This window comes from Homo sapiens, chromosome 2 (genome assembly GCF_000001405.40).
Source record: "Homo sapiens chromosome 2, GRCh38.p14 Primary Assembly".
Lineage (NCBI taxonomy): Eukaryota > Metazoa > Chordata > Mammalia > Primates > Hominidae > Homo > Homo sapiens.
In genome coordinates this window covers 210,660,726-210,684,011 of record NC_000002.12, presented here as the reverse complement: position 1 = coordinate 210,684,011, position 23,286 = coordinate 210,660,726, and the positions used below count along the sequence as shown (strand labels likewise).

General features: G+C 36.6%; 1 protein-coding gene across 6 annotated transcripts in view; it reads right to left on the bottom strand.

Moving 5' to 3' along the window:
- The window catches only part of CPS1 (carbamoyl-phosphate synthase 1), a 201,423-nt gene continuing 183,041 nt past the window's right edge, over positions 4,905-23,286 (bottom strand). For all 6 annotated transcript variants that reach the window (NR_161225.1, NR_163592.1, NM_001369257.1 and 3 more), the window contains 6 exons: positions 20,815-20,889; positions 15,728-15,826; positions 9,051-9,110; positions 8,172-8,284; positions 6,876-7,005; positions 4,905-6,125 (listed from right to left, as the gene is read on the bottom strand). Coding sequence is in view for 4 of the 6 variants with exons in the window: in NM_001369257.1 (NP_001356186.1) it covers positions 6,027-6,125; positions 6,876-7,005; positions 8,172-8,284; positions 9,051-9,110; positions 15,728-15,826; positions 20,815-20,889 (576 nt within the window). In the remaining 2 variants the exon portion in view is untranslated. The remainder of the gene's footprint in view (positions 6,126-6,875; positions 7,006-8,171; positions 8,285-9,050; positions 9,111-15,727; positions 15,827-20,814; positions 20,890-23,286) is intronic.

Sequence of the window (23,286 nt, the reverse complement as noted above, 5' to 3'; positions counted from 1 at the left end):
TATTTAAGCTCTGGGAACACAACAGTCAATAAAATAAATATGGCCTTACCTTCTATAGATCTGAATTACGTACCAGAGAGTCATGATTGTCTCTTAGCTGTATCAGGTTGAAGTAAAGAGATGCTGAAATGATGTGGAATTATTTATAGTGACAACCTTAATGGACCAAAGAAAACCACCATTGATTAAAACCCACCTCATCACATCAACATTAGTACAATGAGTACAACAACCAAAGAACCTTTGCATTTCTTTTATTCTTGAGAATATCAGCCTTCCAGAGGTTAGCATAGCAAAATCCAATAAGGTAAATAAGCCAGGGACCATACCAGGAGGAGTCAGTCTGCCAAGCACCATCCATTTGCGTTAAGAAGTCCCTGGGGCTCCACAGATCCACAGATTTCAGCAGAACCAGGGCACTAGAGTTAGTGAGGTACCTCTGAAGCAAGCAGGGCTTTGCTCAGGATTCTAAGGCACGTAATGATAGATTTGGCACAAATAATTTTTTGCCCTGGAGGCTTCCTCAATGTTGAGAAAGTTAACTCCGTGTTGCCTTATCTTATTCCAACCCAATGAATAAAATGTGAGCCTAATTCACATCAAATGCTTAGGCCTCACAGTTATTAAACTCTCTACAGGGCCTAGCGCGCTGGCTCACGCCTGTAATCCCAGCACTTTGGGAGGCTGAGGCGGGCGGATCACGAGGTCAGGAGATCGAGACCATTCTGGCTAACACGGTGAAACCCCGTCTCTACTAAAAATACAAAAAAAATTAGCCGGGTGTGATGGCGGGCCCCTGTAGTCCCAGCTACTCGGGAGGCTGAGGCAGGAGAATGGCGTGAACCCGGGAGGCAGAGCTTGCAGTGAGCCAAGATCGCACCACTGCACTCCAGCCTGGGCTACAGAGCAAAACTCTGTAGCAAAAAAAAAGAAAGAAAAATCTGTACAAACTCCTACTCACTTTTTAACTACAATAATACTATTTTTCCCCTCCAGCTCTCTCTATATTTTAGTTATGAGTGGGAAAGGAAGTGTATTGAACCTGGAAAATAATATAACATTATGTCCTCAGTTTAATTAGAAAACATTTTTTAAAAAGGATCCACATGTAATTCCTCTTGAATGGGGAGTTCAGCGAATTTTACAGTCTAATTATATTATTCCCTATACATTTCATTTGCAGTCTCCTATGAGGAAATTTCTGAAGAGTTATGGAAAACACTTAGCAGGATATTTCTTTTATGACAAAGTCCTCAACATCCTGCCGCATTTCAACCTTCGAGGCCTTGCATAGGCAGAGAGAAGAAAGGTCACTAAAGAGATTACTGAATGCCTGTAAATTTCAGACAGGAAAACATAGTTGTCTGGGCCCTGGATATTAGAATGTATCCTTTATTATTAAAACACATTTTCAAGTGATTTATGTCCTTTAATAACACATTTTGATCTTGTTGAATTCTCACTCCTTTCTAAATGTTGGTCATATTTTGTCTGTCTTCACTATGGCTGCCCAACAATACTGAGTGTTGTGAGCAAAATTATCATTTGGGGACATACACATCTTTCCCACTTTTTTGTGAGGCTGCTGGTGTTGCTTCTTCTGAACAAAAGCTCCTCACTGTGGTGTGTGTGATTCTAATAGGGAACACCTTAGCAAAATAATTAGGTAGGCTGGTCGTTTCAGGAGAGAGTAGACCTTTAGTCCTGCTGGAAAACCCTATTTTGTTTGTTTGTTTTGGTCAACAATCAATGGTTTTCTTTGTGGATGTAAGTCCTTTATAAAATGAAAGTTGTAAAGACTCAAAAATGATCTTTAAGCAACAAGAAGCATACACAAATGGTGCTAATTTTGACTTGCTAAGTCTTTGTTTCCATAGCTGCATTGATCTCAACAGCTGTAGGTACTTAAATTCTCTTTCTGGCACCTTTGCACCCTACGTTATGCACAAGAAAAGAAGTAGGAATGATTATTACCAATTTTTCACAGAGCCCAGGGAGCCACTCAGGGAGGAAAGACATTCTTCCTCCTACCACATTACCTTCACACTCGCCAATTGTAACAGCTTCTCATGAAATAGCACAGTAATATTAATTAGGAAAAATGGAATTTTTATATATAAGAACAAAGGGAAAGAACTAAACTTGAGCTAGTCTTTTTTAAGTTAAGGGTGTCTCAAATGATATGTAATGAAAGGTCTTTGTGGATTTGATTGGGTGTGTGTGAGCATTTATGGCACCTGTGCCCACAGGAGACTACACCAGCAGCCAAATGGCAACACTGGCATGTAATTACAGAGCACTCAACTGCATTCAGCCATGGTTTGTTTCTCTGATAATTTCCACTTTCATTGTTCAAGAGGCTGTGGACACTGTGGAAGCTGAGGTTCAAGTACCTGCAGCTGTTGAGATAAATGACTGTTATAGTTGTTTTTAAGTTTCCAATAGGAATTCTGTTTAAGAGGAAAGTTTGACAGAAGTGAAGTTAAAATATTATACTTACCTCTCCAAAGCTTTAAAATCCTAAATCTATAAATGGATCATTCTTTATTCCTCTTCATTTCACAAGCTGGCTGAGCTCCTTTTCTCCCTCTTCAATAGAGCCCATCCTTCTTGCACACCATTAAATTCTCAGTATGGAAAAAGCTACTTAGATTTGTTATTCAGCTCTACAGACATAGACCCTGTGTTGTCCGAACTTGTGATATATAATAGATTTGGACATTTAAAAATGTGTTAACATGTTTATATGAAAGAATAAATATGTTCCAAAAGGACAAAGCCTTGCCAAATCTGAGCACAAATGTTTCTACTTTCTTGGATTTCTCTCCTCCAACCAAAGATCTTAAATGTGTTATTTATCTGTTGTTAAGTCTTTTTAAAGTTTGGAATGTTGGAAAACAGAAAGGCAACCAAAACAAAAATTAATGTAATTCCATTTTCAGCACCATGAGGTCTATCCTGTCTTCTGGTTTTCCAAAGCCCTTTTGTCAACAAAAAACAGAGTTTATATAGACACAATGTTAAATTAATTATTATTAATCTTCAAATTTTACCATATCTTACAAATAGCCGGCTCACATTAATATAAAAATTAGGACCCTTTATTAAATTCTCACAATACAATGATTAACTAATTGAGTTTTTGACAGTTTCAGCAAACAATTGTTTATTTAAAACATTGAGTTACATATCTAAATTGGTCACTAACAGCCTGCTCACTTTTAGTCAACATGTAATTTTTATCTTCCTCTGTGAATATGTATGTGTGTCAAGTGTGTTTAGATAGAGAAATAGATGATAAGAGTAGAATAAAGCAAATGAAGTAAAATATTACCAATAGGTAGATCTGGGGATTTTTTTACTTTTAAAATTTAAATCCAAAATTATTTCCAAATAAAAAGTTTTAAAACTTCTACCTAGTTTAAACATCCACCATTAAGAGTCCAGTCTCAACTTCTGCTACTAGCCCTTTCCCTCCACACATACCCTGAGCTCCAGTCATAACAACGTCATTGTCATTTTCCTAAATGTCCTTACCTTCTAGTCTTCCTTGGCAACTGCAAGATCTTATTCAAGGCAACACATGAATCCATCTCCTTAAAATGCCCTTCCCTGATCTCTGCAGGCAAATTATTTTCTTTACTGTGAGAAATGATTTCTTTTTACATGCCTACCTTCACCAGAATATGATACAGAAAAGTGAGACTCCATTTCGTGTGACCTTGAGCATGTTACTTAACTTTGGTATGCCTAAGTTTTCTTATTTATAGTATGGAGATAACAGCACCTACTCACAGGGATATTTTGTGGATTAACTAGGTTAACTCATGTAAAGTACTTACAAATGCCTGAAAAATAGTATGGACTCCATAATGTTAATTATTATGGTGATGGTGGTTGTGGTGCTGGTGATATGTAACAGAAACATGCTAGAATAATAGTAGGAGAGATTGTGATATATTCTACATGAAACATGGAAGAAACTCATTAAATATTTTCAGGTGAATGAATCAAAGTGATCAGGGATTACATAATTATATGATTATAGGGGACCAGCCTGCCCAACATGGCGAAACCCCGTCTCTACTAAAAATACAAAATATTAGCCAGGCTTGTTGGCGGGCACCTGTAATCTCAGCTACTCAGGAGGCTGAGGCAGGAGAATCGCTGGAACCCAGGAGATGGAGGTTGCAGTGAGCTGAGATCGCGCCACTGCACTCCAGCCTGGGTGACAAGAGCAAAACTCCGTCTCAAAAAAAAAAAAAAAAAAAAAAAAAGATTACAGGGAAGAAGTAATGAAAGTCTTGACCACAGGAAGAACAAGGAAGTGAGGGGGAGAGAAGATGAATTACTTTAAGCATTCGTCTAGAGCTATACAAAGTGGTAATCAATTGACTGTGAGGTAACAAGGAAGAAATAAAAGCTGTTATAGCATAATTATCTTAGGACCTTCACAAAGCCATAGTTTCGGTGGTAAATTGGGGATATGGCATCAGTGTGCTCATTGGCACTATTTCCATCAGACAATGCTGGTCAGCCTCTGATTGGGTTAAGTTACTTTTCTGAGTTATGCAAGACATTTGTTTGAAAGTTTACTATATATTTGTGGCAATCTTTAATCAGTTTGTGGTTGTAGTTATACATTAGAAAGGATCCAGATCAAAGATGGTTTATAGCCATATAACCACATAATGTTATGATGAGACTTAAAAGCAAGGGAGGGACAAGAAAAAATGAAAAATGTGACAGCTAAAACTTATTTTTAACATTAATTTTCTCATCCCTATATGGGTTTGCATGGAAAAAATAAATAAGCAATGCAATCCTGGCCCAAAACCCTATTTTATCATAGAAGTAAACTGATTTTTGTACAGCAACATAAAATAAAACCAGATTCAACTGCATTACCTCTTAATAGTATTTTATTTAAAAGTTCACAATTAGAGCACTTGTAATAACAGAAAATATTTAAAAGTAACAAAGGCTGCCCTTGGGGAGAGACTTTTTTCTTATATGTAGAAGGAATGGTGTCCTTGCCCTTACAGTGGGTGGAATTAATAGTGCAGTGTGGGACCCCATAGTTCAACAGAATCCATCGTCTTAAGGGAATGAACCTTACTTCCAAGTTATTCCAAAACTGGGGGAGAGTGTGAATGACAAAAATCTGATTATTTCACTCGGGCCAAGTTAAAATCCAATGATAAAAACAACAACACATCTACATAAACACTGTCTACCATCTGCTGATATAGTCCAGAAAACAAAACTGCAAACCAGTATTCCTTAAAGAAATCCATAGTCTAAAGCAGGAGAATCGCTTGAACTTGGGAGACGGAAATTGCAGTGAGCCGAGATTGTGCCACTGCACTCCAGCCTGGAGAGTGTGACTCCATCTCAAAAAGAAAAAAAGAAAAAGAAAAAGAAAAGAAAAGTCCATACTCTAAATGCCTCTGTCACATTTCTCAACTTCAATATAATGGGAAGGGATAACAATATTCCTGGATTAGCCAAATGGGTGAGAATGAGGATCCAAAAAGAAGCAATACACAAACATCATGATGGAAGGTTCATAAATTAAATCTATATTTAATTTTATCAAGTTTTTAGAGTATTCTGCCCTGTTAAAGTGTCCTGAGTTTGCAGATAGTGTTTTAAAAATAGAGTATCTTAAAGTATAGAAAGAGTTCAGAAAATAGAACAGCAACTTTTCCTACCTTGATCACCATTAATCAGCACCATAAAAAGTAAAAAGCTACACATAAGCACATAGGCAAGCCTAGTCCACCAAAAATACAGTATTAGTAAATGGATGAAATCTCATGAAGAGTAACTTAGGAAGGACTGTAAGGTTTTGAAGAAGTGACTGACAATTTAATTGCAAAAGACACAGAATATTAAGGCATAACAAAGTAAACTGAAATGAAGTTTAGTTATCAATATTCATCTCTGAGAAAGTTGTGAATCAGTTCCTTTAGATAACATGTGGCTCAGGTTGATTTAATAATGGGGCTGGGGTGTCTGCATCTCTATGCTGCTTTTCCAGCACTGTACTGCCTGTAGTGGAAAAGACTCTTGGAGTCCACCTTGCGAGATTTCTGCACAGCTTCAGCAAAAAGTTTGGTCACCTGAAAATATAATGGTAGGAATCAGCACCCTCCATGAGATAAAAGTGAATTTTTAATGAATGAAGACAAAAGTCACAAGTGTCTGTCCCCAGTTTTCAAAGGGGTATGGGATAAAAGGCATAAAAGTTTTTTATGTAATGGAGACTTTCTCCCATGTCTCAGACCTCACCATGGGGACTTTCTTTTATATCTCAGATGTCACTGTGAATACGCTTATTTCTCCTCCCATAGGGATTAAAACTGATTCTGCATAAAAAATAAATATGATAGGCAGAAAGTTAATGAGTCTCCACTCTGTTTCTCCCTGTGATAAATTCGATGGGTCATGTCCAAGTGAAACTGAACATGCCTCATGCAATCATTTTCTGTGAATTGAACAAGCACTTGTGCTACATCTGGACCATCATTAACCTGTTGCTTTTATATGGTGGCTTTCATTTAGAAACAATGAAATAAAAGTTTGTATCTTTATTCCATGTCATGCTGTCACTTTTTATTCAAAGGATAATTGTAAGGAGAGAGCCATGGCCATTCATGGCCTTTGATTATCTCAATTGCTTGATCACCAACTGTCCCATTTAAGCCATGACCTACCATGTTAGCATCATTATTTTAGATTATTAAAAATTCCTCTCTATTCTGAAAGTTACAAAGAGGGGAAAAGAGAGATGTGCATCTACTGATTACACTCTTAAGGGAGGCACAGAAATAAAACTCCCATCCAGTCTATATCCAAGGAAAAGACTATACCTGAAAATTAGTGAGGAGAGGGATTCCACTATCAACAGCTGTCCTCCGAATCACATAATTATCATGGACAAATTTAGTGTTGTTGTTGGGAAGGTTAATCACTAGGTCAATGCTGCCATCTCTAATCAATCTGGAAAAATAAACAAAAACTTATAGACAACAAGGCATATTTTATAGTTAGTTTATAAAATACTAACATAAATTGCTCTCTTAGCCATTCAAGTCAATGCCATGCTGAGTTGACTGCCATCTGCCCTCCTCTATTGCTAAGTAGATGTTTAAATTACACTTATATAGGGATTATATTGTGTTCTTGAAGGAATTCTAGTGCAAGTCTAATGGAATGCAGATGTTTGTTTTCTCTTTAAAATGCTATCTGTTCACTCATTAAGAATTGGTAATTTGATAGATACTTATTTTTTAAAAAGAGGTGATCCCTCCACCATTGAATGCCCTTTCACCCCCATGTTCCCACTCCCACATTAACTCTATTGCCTCCTTAGTAGTGCTAATTATTGTTTTACAATGCCCCAAACACGGAGCTATTACATCCTTGGAGGCCTGCTAAGGTTTGAACACAATGCCATTATTTTATTAAAGTGATAATAATTTATGTGTTGGTTTCTCAAGAACGCTAACAAATAACATATTGCATAGAATGGCACAGCCATTCTGTAGGCTGCACTATCTTAAAACAGCAGAGAATTATCTCCTATGTACTTATGCCACATAGATCTTTAAGGGTTGATGCAATGGTATTCCTGAAGATTCACACAATCTGCTGAAATAAAATGTCGTACAAAATCTAATGATGACATGGTCTAAGGCATGAAAACCTGGTCAAGGAATGACCAATTAGGTAATCCAATGGATGACATCATCATAGTACTCAACATAGGTTCCTGTATGTAGTAAGTGCTCAACAAATTGATTTATTATGCACAACCTTAGTGAAATATAGCTGGTCATCTTATACTCGATGTACTTATCTATACACAATATAAGTTTGACATGAAATATAAAGTGCTGCATTACATTCTTCATGCTCTCACTTGTTTCCGTCAAGGAAAGTATCCTTACTAAGAAGTATTTTGAAACACGTTTCATATCACCATGTACACATGACGTTATGTATTCCATAGTGATGGAGAGTGAAACTTGACAATCATCCACAAATGTATTCATTTTTAAATTTGTTTTAAAAGACTTGCAATCAAGTAAGGTGAAATATTCATATACTGGTTCTCAAAGTTAATCCTCTAAATTATTTCAGAAAACAGTATGCCTAGTTCTTACTTTCTGATGGAAGAGAGGCTGGGATTCTGTCCTTCTTGAGACGGCCATGCCACTGGGGTGGCAGGGACATTGTTGGCGTTGAGCCAGTCTGATGTGGCTTCCGTGGCAAACAGCTGCATTTAAAATGAAAAAATCAATTACCGTATCACAGTGATTTCTTATTTTTATGGAACATGTAATTTAAAACATAAAGAAGAAGAAATTGCTGAACATGAGAAGTAGTATAGTGCCATGGATAGAGACTTGGACTCACAGTCCAGAGGCATGGGCACTTTAAACATTTTTTATATATTTGCAGTGATTTAAAAAACTTAAGAACCTCAATTTTATTTGCATTTCCATTTTAATAATTATATGTTTAATTTGAATTTAATAATTCAATGACAATTTCTCATAAATTTAATAATTTCTCAATTATTCATGGCTAATTCCTTGTTAGCAGGTCAAAAAATCCCCATGGCCACAGGCCCATCATAAGCCTTGGGAATAATTTTGTTTTACTCAACCAGGCTTTGTGTGGAGGTATTCACTGCAAAGAAGTTTTGCCTGTAACTGTCACAGCTAGAATCTATAACCTCATATGAAAACAAAAAAAGGAAAAACATATGGAAATGTGTTGGGACTTTGTCTCAATTGTGCTTAAGCTAAACTTTCTCAGTTTTTAGCTGGCAACTTCTATTGAATTTGTGGTAATTTTGTTAAAAGTTAATACCAGTCTTTTTAATGATTTGACTCTAAGTTTTGAAACTACCAAGTTAGTTAAACCTTTCATATCAAAAGGACATATTTTGGGCTATTTCTTTTCCAATATTCTGCAATATTTTGATTTGTGGACAGATTCCATGCTGACAGAAAACAACTTAAAACTAATGAACATACCTTGAAACCTTCATTGTGTAATTGTTCAGCCACACCAAGGAATCTTGGCCGGAATGATTGCTGAAAAGGAATTTCACAAAATTCACTTTCTAGATATACATGCTCTTCATTTATGCAATATGGTATTTCCTTACAACATCTTAAAAGACAATGTTACATGTTGCCGGATGCTTTATATTAAAAAATGACAAGTTTTATCCTTTTATCCTTCTATGGTGAGTGTGAGTTTTAGCTATATCCCAATGTCAATGAAATTCCATCCACATAATCTTGATCCCTGCTTTTCACCTTGTTCTTATCTCCTTTTATTCTCTATTTAATCTACTTGGTCTTTGTAAGTTCAGATCCACTTCGGTTCTACAAGGATCCTTTTCCTGGTCAGGGAGGACTTAAAAGATATGCGGGTTAGGAGCCAGTACCGAGTCAGGCTAGCTGTTTTGCCTATTCAACCTGCTCTTATTTCTTTTTTTTTTTTTTGGTTTTTTTTTTTGAGATGGGGTTTTTTGCTCTTGTTGCCCAGGCTGGAGTGCAATGGCACGATCTTGGCTCACTGCAATGCCTTCTGGGTTCAAGCGATTCTCCTGCCTCAGCCTCCCGAGTAGCTGGGATTACAGGCATCCACCACCATGCCCAGCTAATTTTGTATTTTTAGTAGAGACAGGGTTTCTCCATGTTGGTCAGGCTGGTCTCAAACTCCCGACCTCAGGTGATCCACCCACCTCGGCCTCCCAAAGTGCTGGGATTACAGGCATGAGCCACTGCACCCAGGCTCAACTTGCTCTTATTTCTAAGTTCTAATTTTGTACTGCTCTTCAATAACTAGGCCATTTTCCTAGTAGCTTATGCACTAGTCCCTGCAATAACTCAATCTTTGGAACTCTTTTTTCATTTACTCTGAGGCAATAAAAAGTTGTAGCTAAAGAATGAGCTCTAAAGTCAGTTAGCTGCATTTCAAATCCTGGCTTTCACCATTCACTAGTGGTATGAGCTTCAAAAAGTTAATGTCTTTGCCTTCATTTCTTCACTCAAAAACAGTGATGACAATAGTAGTATTTCAACTTTTTTTTTTGAGGCTCCACACCTTATTAAACTGTGTTACCTTGAATATCTTACTTAACAACTCTAAGATGCAGTTTCCTCATCTGTTGAACAGGAATAGTAACAGTTCTTACATTAGTATGAGTGTTCAATAAACTAATTTAGAAGTAAGCACTACTTAAGTGTTACTACTATAATTTAGCACAGTTACTTGCCTATTAATAGTTCTTAATAAATATTATTATAATTACAATAATTGTTTTTTCAGCCCCCCTAAAAACTAGATTCCTGCCCTTACATCCTAGTTTCCAAGCATGGGTTCCTCTACCCACGATTACACTTACAACCCAAACTGACTGCCCCCTCATTTATACGCATTTCATTTCCACACAGGCTTCCCTAATGCTCCATCTCACTGTTCAGATATTTTCCTGTAGTCCATTGCTGTGTCTTTCCTAGGACCCCAGGTGGACCTGTCTAGTGTCCAGCCCCTACCTTCCCTGGATTCCTGACCATTGCCATCAGGAGTTCCCTATTTCTGAACATACTTCCTGTGATCAAGAGCTAGTGTTTGCAAGATAGTGGTCAGAATGAAAGAAAACAACACTAGGTGACCTACCCAAAGATCAAACCCTGACCTTGACTTCATTAACATGAGTGTCTGAGTAACTGAGCTGGCGTATTTAAAATCACACACTGTTAAAAACATATCCATTCTTCTTTAAATAGGAACATTCTTGTTGGTTTCCCTTGTAAAAAGGTTTTAAACAGATGACATGAGCTAGTTACTTCAGCAAATGTCTTGTAACCTGTTTATAAACCATATTAGTGATGGCTGGAAAAAATCAAATGATCTTATTTCAGAGTCAGAAACTAGGAACTGTGACAATAAAACACATGTGATCCTTGCACAATTTTGATAATGTTTAGCCCATAACACCCCCTAATATTTACTTGCAGAGTATTTCTGAGCACAGATCTAAATCCTAAGAAAAGACCCCAAAGACTATGTTCAAATATAAAATTCTTTCAGATTCTGGCCCCCTCAATCCCAGAACTGCAGTTTTATAAGAGGAAACTATTGGTAAATAGAATAGATAAATGTAACTGGATGAATTTCAGCTGAGGCAGGCTCAGTGGTTATTCATGACTGCCTTATAGAACATGAATTTTAACCATGCCCAGGAAAGTAGCTTTTCATTTCCACTTAGGACCAAACAGAAAGAAATGAGCTTAGATGCAAGAAGCTCATGGTTAGACGTAAAAGAAAAAAACAAGTAAAAAATTAGAGAATAACTCTTAGTGACATCAGGACAATTGGTTAGACAGAAGAATAAGACAATTCAAGTTTCATTCTCCTCAGAAAAGGCAAAGGGCTAAATTTGATGGCATATAAATTTTTTTTCATGTTTTAAGATTCCTTGGTATATAACAAATATATATGAAATGTCCAAAATGAACTTCCAAATGTTGTTAAATACCCCTAATATGGAACATTACATTGTGACCCTCTGCTAAACACAGAATAGACTTCAGTAAGTACCAAATCACATTAGAAGGCTCAGCATAATGATCTCCAACACTTGCTAATTGATACATTAATCATGCACTCAACTTTCCTCAATCTTTTATACTTTCCCCTAGCAAAAATTCCCTGATAATATGTTTGACAATAATAAGTGCTAACATAACTTTTAACCAGGTTTCTAAAGTACCATCGCTCAAGTAGAGTGGTTCTCAAACTGTGGTCCCTGGCAGAGCAGCATCAGCATTACCTGGGAATTTATTAAAAATATGAAAATTTGAACCCCACCCCAGATCTATTGAATCAGGAACTCTGGGAGTGGATCCTAGCAATTTGTTGTTTTACAAACCCTCCAGGTGATTTTGATGCATACTTAAGCTTGAGAAAGGGGGGAATAGGGGATAGGAAGACTATCGTTCACTCATTGTGTAATATGAAGTCAAGATTGCATTAACCTTGGCTAAAATCACCACGAAAAACATTAAGGGAGGAGTACTAGAATGTAATTTTTTTCTTTGCCATTTTAAAGTAAAATAAGTCAGCAAGTCCTCTAAGACCTGCAGACACCAGGCAGAACCTCATTATGGAGCTGTTTCAGTGTTGTCCCCCAGGTGGAAAAGATAAATATCCAACATGACAGTATCGACAGTTCCCAGCCAGGAAACCACTCTACCTTCTGGTCTGGGTGTTGGCTTCCATAGGCACATTATAAACTTCTATCAAACATGTATTGAACACTTGTGACACATAAAACAGCCTCTCTACAAAAAGAAATTACAGCTGTCAGCTTGCATCTGAGTAGCCTCAGATTTAAAAGCTGATTGAAAATACCTGTGTAAGAAACCATTTGTTACGAAAGGTGAAAAGTACAAGCTGATTTATTTTCTTGGAAATGTTTATAAAGAAGACAGTCCTTTAAAAGTGAAAAATATATATATTTCCTCCAATGATCATTTTCACATTTATCCAACTCCTGGCTACAGAAAAGAAAGCCAAGTTAATACTATGTGATGCCTGTGGATTCTACGGGGACCTCTGGATTGACAACTCTATGGTTGTTCCTAATGATTCCATATTAAAGATAAAAGGTTATTCATGTCACTTGGAGTTGTCTTTTCAAATAAAATGCTTGCTTTGTGTTTCTGAGCGATGCTGAAGCGCAGATGTCAGATTGGTACTTGCCACTCCACAAGCATCACTGAATAGCCCAATCAGAGAGGAAAACACAGTGAGTGCTCTTGATCTACTCTAGAGTAAATCATTTAATGTTAAAGGGTCTTCCAGAAAACTTCAAAACAAGGCAGATTGCCTACTCACAGCAACTAAAAATAAATCCTAATGCGATGAAAGGTGGCTAGAAATATTACAGGAAAATCAAAGATGATTTTTGTTGCCATATAAACCTGTGTTATGCCTTTCTTATGTTAGAAATGCCTTGGTAGAGACACAGGGAATGTAATAGATTGAGAAGAATCCTTTGACAAAATCTACATCTTGATTCTTTTATCCTAAGTCCTAGTTATAAGATTGATGTTATGAATATTTCAAACTTCCCAGATACTTTGACCTATTGGATTTAACTTTGGAAGACCAGAAACAGAGAGTCTGTATGTGTAAAGGAGTAGGGTGGGAAAGAGAGAAGAAATTTAAAAGTTAGAAAGACTGCCATATAACAAGTTCTCTTGGAACTTCATAATAACTCACCTTCAACTAGATGCCTTCCATTGGATTTACTATCCCTAACCCCCATTTATATATTAGCAGTCTTTTTTGTGCTATTTTTCAGTTCTAACTTAATATATCCAAAAGTGTTTATATGAGTTCTTCTGACCAAGTAGGATCACGTTAAATAAAATGTTTTTTAAAAGTACAATGTATCCTAAAATATGGAACCCTAATTACTTTATCTGCAATTGCTATGAAGCTGTGGTAAAAAGTTGAGATTAGATTTGGCCCCATACTAACTAAGAAGTAGTCAAGTAAGTTTTATAGCTATTAACTCTCCATTTAGTATATTCTGTCACGCTTTTTCAGTTTATCAGACTAAGCATTTTTAAAAACACCATGAATGAAAATCCTACATATAGTAATGAAGAAACTATGCATTAGCTGATCAATTTTGCCATGGCTGTAAATATTTTCTTAAGTATAATTTTATTAAGTTCCTTTAAGTACTTTTTAATATATTTTTAAATCTGTGTCCGTATGCTCTCATGTGCAGAAAGTTCTTCGCAACAACTCATGTAGCTGCTAGAACATTTATTTCTTTTAAAAGGAAAGTATTGAAAGGTAGATTTTCAATAGCCAGCTCTCACTACTTTAAGAAAACATTATTTTTTCTAACAAACCCTTTTTTCCCCTACAAAGCAAAATTCTGTCCACTAATGCCAAAATTACGCAAATACTTCATAGGGATCAAATTAATTTTTGCTTCACATTTCCCTGCAGCACTAGAACCAAACAAGGCACAATTTTATACATCACTGCCTTCTTAAAGTGGCATTTTAAAATGTTAGCACTATTATGATTAGATGTGAAGATGTGGACTAAGGGCATGGTCTCCTCTGAATGCCCCCAAGTCTCACATTAAACTTTAAGCCATAACTGGAAGTTGGGCAAATATTCTCCTACTTGGGACTTAATAATACTTAATACCCATTTATAACATGATGAGTCTATCATATGGTGTGATTTGTCTCTAAACTGCCATTAAGCTTCACAATTGCAAGTCATCTTGTTAGCCTCTGCTCTAACTATTCACCGTCGTCCTTCTGGTACCTTTATAAAGCAAAATCCCAAGTTACTCTTTGCAGAAACTTCTCCAAAGCCACTACCTGTAAAGTCTCCAGAGTCTAATTTGCTAATATTAAGACACCCTAATGAGATGGAATCTAAAATAATCACCCACTGGCTTGAGAATACCTGGTACTGTTCTAATTATATTTTTATTGATTTTTATGTAGCCATGCAGAGTTTGAGCTTATTAAAAGCACAGCAGGGATATTATATAAGACCATTTGTTGTTTTTCATAGGACCCAAGAATTACTAATCTCAAATAAAAATGAATGACCAGTTGGGAAGCCTCTAGTATTTTTTCAGGAAATTTATAAACAGGACAGTTTGTACACTCTTGCAATTAGTAATAGTAATAAAAGTAGTTCTGAATAGTAATAAAAAGCATTCCAAATAGTAATAGAAGTTTCCTATCATTTTGCCCTAAGATTTATATTTAACTTACATCAATAAATTGACAGTGCATTTTTTATTGCATAAAGATATTCATTTCACCCTACTTTGACCTAGAAGGCTTACCAATGAATAATATTTCAAGAACTTCTACAGTATACTATGAAATAAACTGACTGTATTAGGCCCATTAAGTCACTACCCTTCAAAAACTTTCAATCTGGAGTGTTAAGTTGAGAAATTTAATCAAATAACATCAATGTATTCAACTTTGAATCCTTGGCATTTAGAAGTGATTGAAATGTGAAGGACTGAATGAATGAAAGGAAGGAAGGGGAGATGGTCAGGAGAGAACAGATATGACTTCAGTTTGAGAAACGTTGGATTTGAGATATTCAAGTGGAGGTATCCAGCAGATTGTTGGAAATATGGGATGGCTGAGGATGTAAATTTACAGGTGGTAGCTATAGATAGAAGAGTAGGTACTATAGACATGGATGAATTGGCAAGGGGGAAAATCAAGAGACAGAGAAATATCAAGAGAAACAGAGGAAGTGAGATCCAACCTCATATAATGCCTATGTTCAGGAACTAAGGATGGAGAGCTAAGAGTAAAACATATAGAAAAGACAAAACCAAAGAATAAGAGATTCATTTTTTAAAGTACCCTGCATCCCATTTAGAACAAATATCCCTTCACTAGAAACATTTTCTTTCTGTCTGTATTTTATTTTTGCACGGGCTGATACAACAGAAGGCAAAATCAGGAAGCAAATAGAGAACAAATGTCCCTTCTTCCTGGAAGTTGCCATAAACGGAAACGTAAAACAAATCTCCCTTCCTCTATACCACAATTAACATTCTATCCTGCCCCTCCCCACTCACCATGTATGACCATGGGCAAGCACACAGCCACAAACCACTTACCTGGATGCCTATCAGGATGCCTTTCTGGGGTATCTTAAATCCTGTGGAAAGCATTGCCTTTAGGAAGGCTGTATGAATACCTTCACCAAAGCAAGCCACCTGTTTAGAAATAAATAAAAAATTAAAATAGAGGATGCAAAGAATAGTCAACCACTCCTACCAAAAATTAAAATTAAAATACACACACACACACACACACACACACACATGCACGCACAAATGGAAAGTACTTTACTCATAGACTCCTTCTGTAGATTTTATTAATGTTGCCCAAAGCCTGTGCAATCTGAATCCAGGGATTAAAAGGCTGGCCAGGGCAGATGTATCTTATGTTTTTAATTAAGCATAATGAATGAATAAGCAATTCTTTTTCTATCCAACAACACTCAATGGAGCAACATAACTGGATTCTACTGAGAGTTATTTGGATACAAATCACAGCTTCTGGTCCATAATGTGGTAAGTTTCCGAATGTTAATATGACTTACTGTTTAAATAACAGTATGTGTCATATATACTATGCAGCCGTGCATGAATTTACCGGTCAGTAGCAGAAATGCGTAACTGCTGAATTGGTTTGGAGCCATTTCATAGAGCTTATGAGACAGCCTTCTGAGAAATTTAATAACTCCATGAAAACCTCAAAGGAACCTGTTTTTTAAAAACATCATTTTCATAAAGTGAAACAAAATATCCTGCTACTAGTCCTGAATACCACAGCCATATGGGGAAAAAACAATTCCAAACAAACTAACATATATAGTAATGTTAGAGTATACAGAAGTTCCATTTAGGTTTACGGTAATTGTGCTACAATATAACTACAAGTCAAATAGCCAACATAATTATAGAACAAGTGGTATATTTGAACCTGATAGGAGTCAATTCTGCCATGTATATCATCATTTGGCACAGGTACAGAACCACCATTAGAGTAAATACAGGGCAATTAGGCAGGAGAAGGAAATAAAGAGTATTCAGTTAGGAAAAGAGGAAGTCAAATTGTCCCTGTTTGCAGACGACATGATTGTATATCTAGAAAACCCCACTGTCTCAGCCCAAAATCTCCTTAAGCTGATAAGCAACTTCAGCAAAGTCTCAGGATACAAAATCAATGTACAAAAATCACAAGCATTCTTATACAGCAATAACAGACAAACAGAGAGCCAAATCATGAGGGAACTCCCATTCACAATTGCTTCAAAGAGAATAAAATACTTAGGAATCCAACTTACAAGGGACATGAAGGACCTCTTCAAGGAGAACTACAAACCACAGCTCAATGAAATAAAAGAGGATACAAGCAAATGGAAGAACATTCCATGCTCATGGGTAGGAAGAATCAATATTGTGAAAATGGCCATACTGCCCAAGGTAATTTATAGATTCAATGCCATCCCCATCAAGCTACCAGTGATTTTCTTCACAGAATTGGAAAAAACTACTTTAAAGTTCATATGGAACCAAAAAAGAGCCCGCATTGCCAAGTCAATCCTAAGTCAAAAGAACAAAGCTGGAGGCATCACCCTACCTGACTTCAAACTACACTATAAGACTACAGTAACCAAAACAGCGTGGTACTGGTACCAAAACAGAGATATAGATCAATAGAACGGAACAGAGCCCTCAGAAATAACGCCGCATATCTACAACTATCTGATCTTTGACAAACCTGAGAAAAACAAGCAATGGGGAAAGGATTCCCTATTTAATAAATGGTGCTGGGAAAACTGGCTAACCATACGTAGAAAGCTGCAACTGGATCCCTTCCTTACACCTTATACAAAAATTAATTCAAGATGGATTAAAGACTTAAACGTTAGACCTAAAACCATAAAAACCCTAGAAGAAAACCTAGGCATTACCATTCAGGACATAGGCATGGGCAAGGACTTCATGTCCAAAACACCAAAAGCAATGGCAACAAAAGCCAAAATTGACAAATGGGATCTAATTAAACTAAAGAGCTTCTGCACAGCAAAAGAAACTACCATCAGAGTGAACAGGCAACCTACAAAATGGGAGAAAATTTTCACAACCTACTCATCTGACAAAGGGCTAATATCCAGAATCTACAATGAACTCAAACAAATTTACAAGAAAAAAACAAACAACCCCATCAAAAAGTGAGCAAAGGATATGAACAGACACTTCTCAAAAGAAGACATTTATGCAGCCAAAAGACACATGAAAAAATGCTCATCATCACTGGCCATCAGAGAAATGCAAATCTAAACCACAATGAGATACCATCTCACACCAGTTAGAATGGCAATCATTAAAAAGTCAGGAAACAACAGGTGCTGGAGAGGATGTGGAGAAATAGGAACACTTTGACACTGTTGGTGGGACTGTAAACTAGTTCAACCATTGTGGAAGTCAGTGTGGCCATTCCTCAGGGATCTAGAACTAGAAATACCATTTGACCCAGCCATCCCATTACTGGGTATATACCCAAAGGACTATAAATCATGCTGCTATAAAGACACATGCACACGTATGTTTATTACGGCACTATTCACAATAGCAAAGACTTGGAACCAACCCAAATGTCCAACAATGATAGACTGGATTAAGAAAATGTGGCACATATATACCATGGAATACTATGCAGCCATAAAAAATGATGAGTTCATGTCCTTTGTAGGGACATGGATGATATTGGAAATCGTCATTCTCAGTAAACTATTGCAAGGACAAAAAACCAAACACCGCATGTTCTCACTCATAGGTGGGAATTGAACAATGGGAACACATGGACACAGGAAGGGGAATATCACACTCTGGGGACTGTTGTGGAGTGGGGGGAGGGGGGAGGGATAGCATTAGGAGATATACCTAATGCTAAATGATGAGTTAATGGCTGCAGCACACCAGCATGGCACATGTATACATATGTAACTAACCTGCACATTGTGCACATGTACCCTAAAACTTAAAGTATAATAATAATAAAAAAGAAAAAAAAGAAAAAAAAAACCACTGATGGCTAAATTCATTTCTTAAGCAAATTACAATTTCTGTGCAAGAAAAGTTCTTATGACTATAACCTTCAGCTGGTCACCAGTACATGTGGTTGCTGCTTTTCTCTCCACAGTGAACATTTTACTCAGTCAAGTACTGGGCAACTAACTTAAATAAGGTCAACCTAAGTTAATGAGTCTCAAATTCTATTGAAAAGAATTGGGTAATCCCATCATAGTGCAGATGCAACAACACAGACGAGGTTTTAAAAATTTTCTACAGAACCATAGAAAGTAGTTAAATGTGCCATTAAAGATTAGGACTAATATCCCCACTTTACCACTAGGAACATAAAATGCCCCTTACTTATATCAGTAGCTGAATGTTTATTTAATCCTACAACAAGCCATTTGGACACTGAAAATGTCTCTTTGAAGCATAATTAAGATTTTACTAAGCTAGAATTCTGATGTCAGTAATAAAACAGACCTCGTAATATTATACTGTATGACACTTGGAATTAACGACTCTTTCAAATAATGGAAGAAAAATTCTCTTTATACTTGAGAAACAGATATAACAAAGGGGAGCTGAATTTCTCATTCTTTCTTATTTTTATATTTCAATAACTCCCATAACATATGTATGGATGCAGAATGAACATAACCACTGAAAACAAATTTGCCATGCTAAAGAAAACAGCATGGGCCGGCTGCGGTGGCTCATGTCTGTAGCGGGCGGATCACCTGAGGTCAGGAGTTCGAGACCAGCCTGACCCACATGGAGAAACGCCATCTCTACTAAAAATACAAAATTAGCCGGGCGTGGTGGTGCATGCTTGTAATCCCAGCTACTCAGGAGGTTGAGGCAGGAGAATCGCTTGAACCCAGGAAGTGGAGGCTGCAATGAGCTGAGATCATGCCGTTGCACTCCAGCCTGGGCAACAAGAGCGAGCAAAACTCCGTTTCAAAAAAAAAAGGAAGAAAGAAAAATAAAACAGTATGAAGGAAAATAGATCTCTCTCTGATCTGAACCCTGGGCCATCTAAAATCAGCATTACTAGTAGTAGCGACCATGGGATCAAGAAGAACCTGAAGACTGTCTCCTTAAACCGACTGGAGATGAAACGTACATAGTGCCTTCATTTAAAAGTAAGGTTTTTTTTGCCCTTAAATTAAAAGAAGCAACAAAGAGGCAAAGAGTCCCCTTTCTAAGAGTCCAAATACAAACAGGACAGCCATTTATTCCTGACTGCCTGCCTTCTTGTCTCACTTGGCTTCTCATCACAGATCTTGCTTGTAACCAGGCAACCATATAAAACATCACGTACTTTGTTGCAATTAAGTATTTTATCCTTTTAGGTTTTCCTTAATACCAAGAGGAAACAATGATGGCTCACAGTCTGATATTGCCACTCGGATATGCACTGATGAGAATCTGAAGTTTGTATCTAGTAAGTCTGTCAAGGGCTAGGTGATTCATAAAATGTCCTGACACTGACATGGAGAGAACTTTCTAGAATCTGACAGCTCTTTACAAGAAACACATTTCACAATCCTAAAGAAACCTTCAGCTGACACAGCCCCAACACAAGTGAAGAGGGACATCCAGTGGCCGATTCCATTATAGTTTTTAGATAATCCCCAGGAGGTTAAAAGTAGTCCTAAAATTTTGCATGTATCTGCAGATTCCACAATGTTTAGGTCTATGATCTTTATAATGCTGTCATTCTCCATATTACTAGTAAAAATCAAATGATCTAATTTCATGGCAGCAAGGCAGGGAATGAGGTGTTGTTACAGAGAGACCCGAGAACCTTTAAATAAAAAGTAAGACACAGAAGATATTTACTTGGATGTCTAGATAAATACCTGGAAGATGTTCTCATGTGAAAATGAATTAGTAACACATGTATTATATTCCCATGTTAAAATATAAATAAGAATTTAGACCCTATTCAAAATAGAAGTAAAATATTTTTTAAATTCAAAATTCATAAGCTCTTTGAGTCTTACTCTGATAGCAGATGTTTTTATTCCCTTTATTTTACTGTATTCAAATCATAAAACCATAGATTTCAAAGTAGATTTAATGAAAGCTTCCATGGATTATTAACTAGTTACCTCTCCAGTGGAAGCCATCTCACATCTCAGAATGGGGTCAGCATCCCTCAACCGGGGCCAGGAAAACATGGGAGCCTGTTGGAAAAAAAAAAAACAGGGAGAAAAATTATGTGAGGGAAAAGTAGAAAATGAATAAGAGAGGATAAATATATTAGCAAATCATCTCTCACAGAGTTCACTTAGGCTACAGTAGACATGTAAAAAATCTCTTGGGTCCAAGCATCCGACTTGAAAGATGGCTTTAAAACTCCATTCCAAGAATTTCTTGAGCTCTTGGCCAAAACTTTAGGTTAAATAATCACAAATTAATTCTGTAAATAGGGCGCCTGAGACCAGTCTGGACCAGTGTTTCTAATCTGGCCCATGCATATTCCTATTGGAATGATTTCAAAGTCCACTGGGCATTGGTCTCTCCAGACAGAGTTCAAACACATTTTTTTCTCTTTGATAGGCTTTGGAAACATTCCTCTTCTTGTTCTGATCATTTGAACTTGCAACAAGCCACCTTGCCAGAAATGGCTGTCTGTAAGCCAGTTTCTGAGGCATTAAACTGTTGTTGACACCTCTTAAAAGCTTTGAAAAACATTCTGCTTGGAAACACCTTTGTGCAGAACTTTCATATGAACTAGAGTATAGGAGTGCCTCCTTTTCATTTATTTTACTGATGCAATTCATGAAAAACTAAGTTCTTGTTTCTCGCTATGTGTCCACTTATCTGGTACATGGAGGAATTTTATCAATTGCTCCATTGATTCTGGCACCCATTCTAAATTATGATGGGAATTCTAGCTTGGGAGTCATTTCACTGGATCATCTTGGTCAAGTTACATATTTCTGCATTTCAGCTTCCCTATTTCCCCATCTGTTGATACCAATTAGCCTCACTAGGGCTATTAAGATTGACAATTACTAAGTAATTTGAAAAAAACTAAGATTTATATACAAAGCTAACTAGGGAATGAGTAAGCTAGAAGATACAGTGCATTTAAAAAATGCATATCTACCTGTAATCCCAGCACTTTGGGAGGCCGAGGCAGGTGGATCACCTGAGGTCAGGAGTTTAAGACCAACTTTGCCAACATGGCAAAACCCCATCTCTACTAAAAATGCAAAAATTAGCTGGGCGTGGTGGCATGTGCTTATAATCCCAGCTACCTGGGGGCTACTTGGGGGGCTGAGGGGGAGAATTGCTTGAACCCGGAAGGCAGAGGTTGCAGTGAGCTGAGATCATGGCACTGCACTCCAGCCAGGGTGACAGAGCAAGACTCCGTCTCAAAAAAAAAAAAAAAAAAAAGCATATCTATCCATCAATATTATTTTTAGTTAAAAATTCATATATCAATTTACTAAAAGAAATAAGCATACTCCTATAACTATGAATAAAGAAACATGAACTTAAAATCCATATATAGAATCTCCAGTGGAAAAAAATATTTTTCAGTGGCTACTAATCGTTGGTCTCAAAAAAAATTTCTCTATTTTTCTACTAAAAGATTTAACAATATATGTTTGTCACAGTCTCCATGAATAAAATGCCACCTCTCCTCCCAACATAAAAAGTCACATTCCATCTCAATGCACTATAAAATTCAAGGCATCCTACATTATCAGCTTAAACAAGATTTTTAATTCACAACTTCAACTTAAAGTTCCCATCATAAAAGTCAAAAGTCCAAGTCTGAGCTGTAACACAATTATGGTTGAAGTCACTAGTACATATAGGAACGGAAACCTTTTGAAAACATCAGAAATTTGTCAATTTTACATAAATATATCAATATTAATGTTACATAAATATATTAATTTCATTGTGCTCTTCATCTACGTAATTCAAATACGTTTATATATCACTAATCCTCATGCCTGTCCAGCCAAGTAGTTAAAGGTCATAATTCTGTGCACCATCATACTGATGCAGCTAGGAGATCACAATGGCTTTATTATTAAGGTATTATTTAAAATATACATATGTATTGGAAATTAGTGAACAAACTTTAAATTTTCCTGGTCACTCTTTATAAAGGTGTCATCAATTTCAACAACCGCACAGCACCATATACAGCAACAGCTGTCTCAATTTTTCAAATGGAAAAATCATGCCACTGAAGAAAATATATACTAAGCAAAGGTGGTCAATGTGGTAGGAATTTAATCAACCCCACAGGCTAACCCTTTTTACAAAAGTCATGTAAGAGTTGGCACAATTCAAGCTTTATCCTAACAAGGTGTGTCCTGGATTTCTATTTACCAGCTAAACTAGCACCATCATGTGTCAGCTGCACAAAAAGCTTATAATTCACTCAGCTAATTGATTTTGAAGTTATACAATTCTAGATGGTTTTAAAAATTTTTTTGAAATGTACAACAGTTCACATAAAGTTGCCTATAGTACAACTGCAGTACATTATTGAAAGGAAATGTAAATCCCTAGTCCAACCCTTTAGTTAGAAGGTTTTAAAAGTAACAAGATTT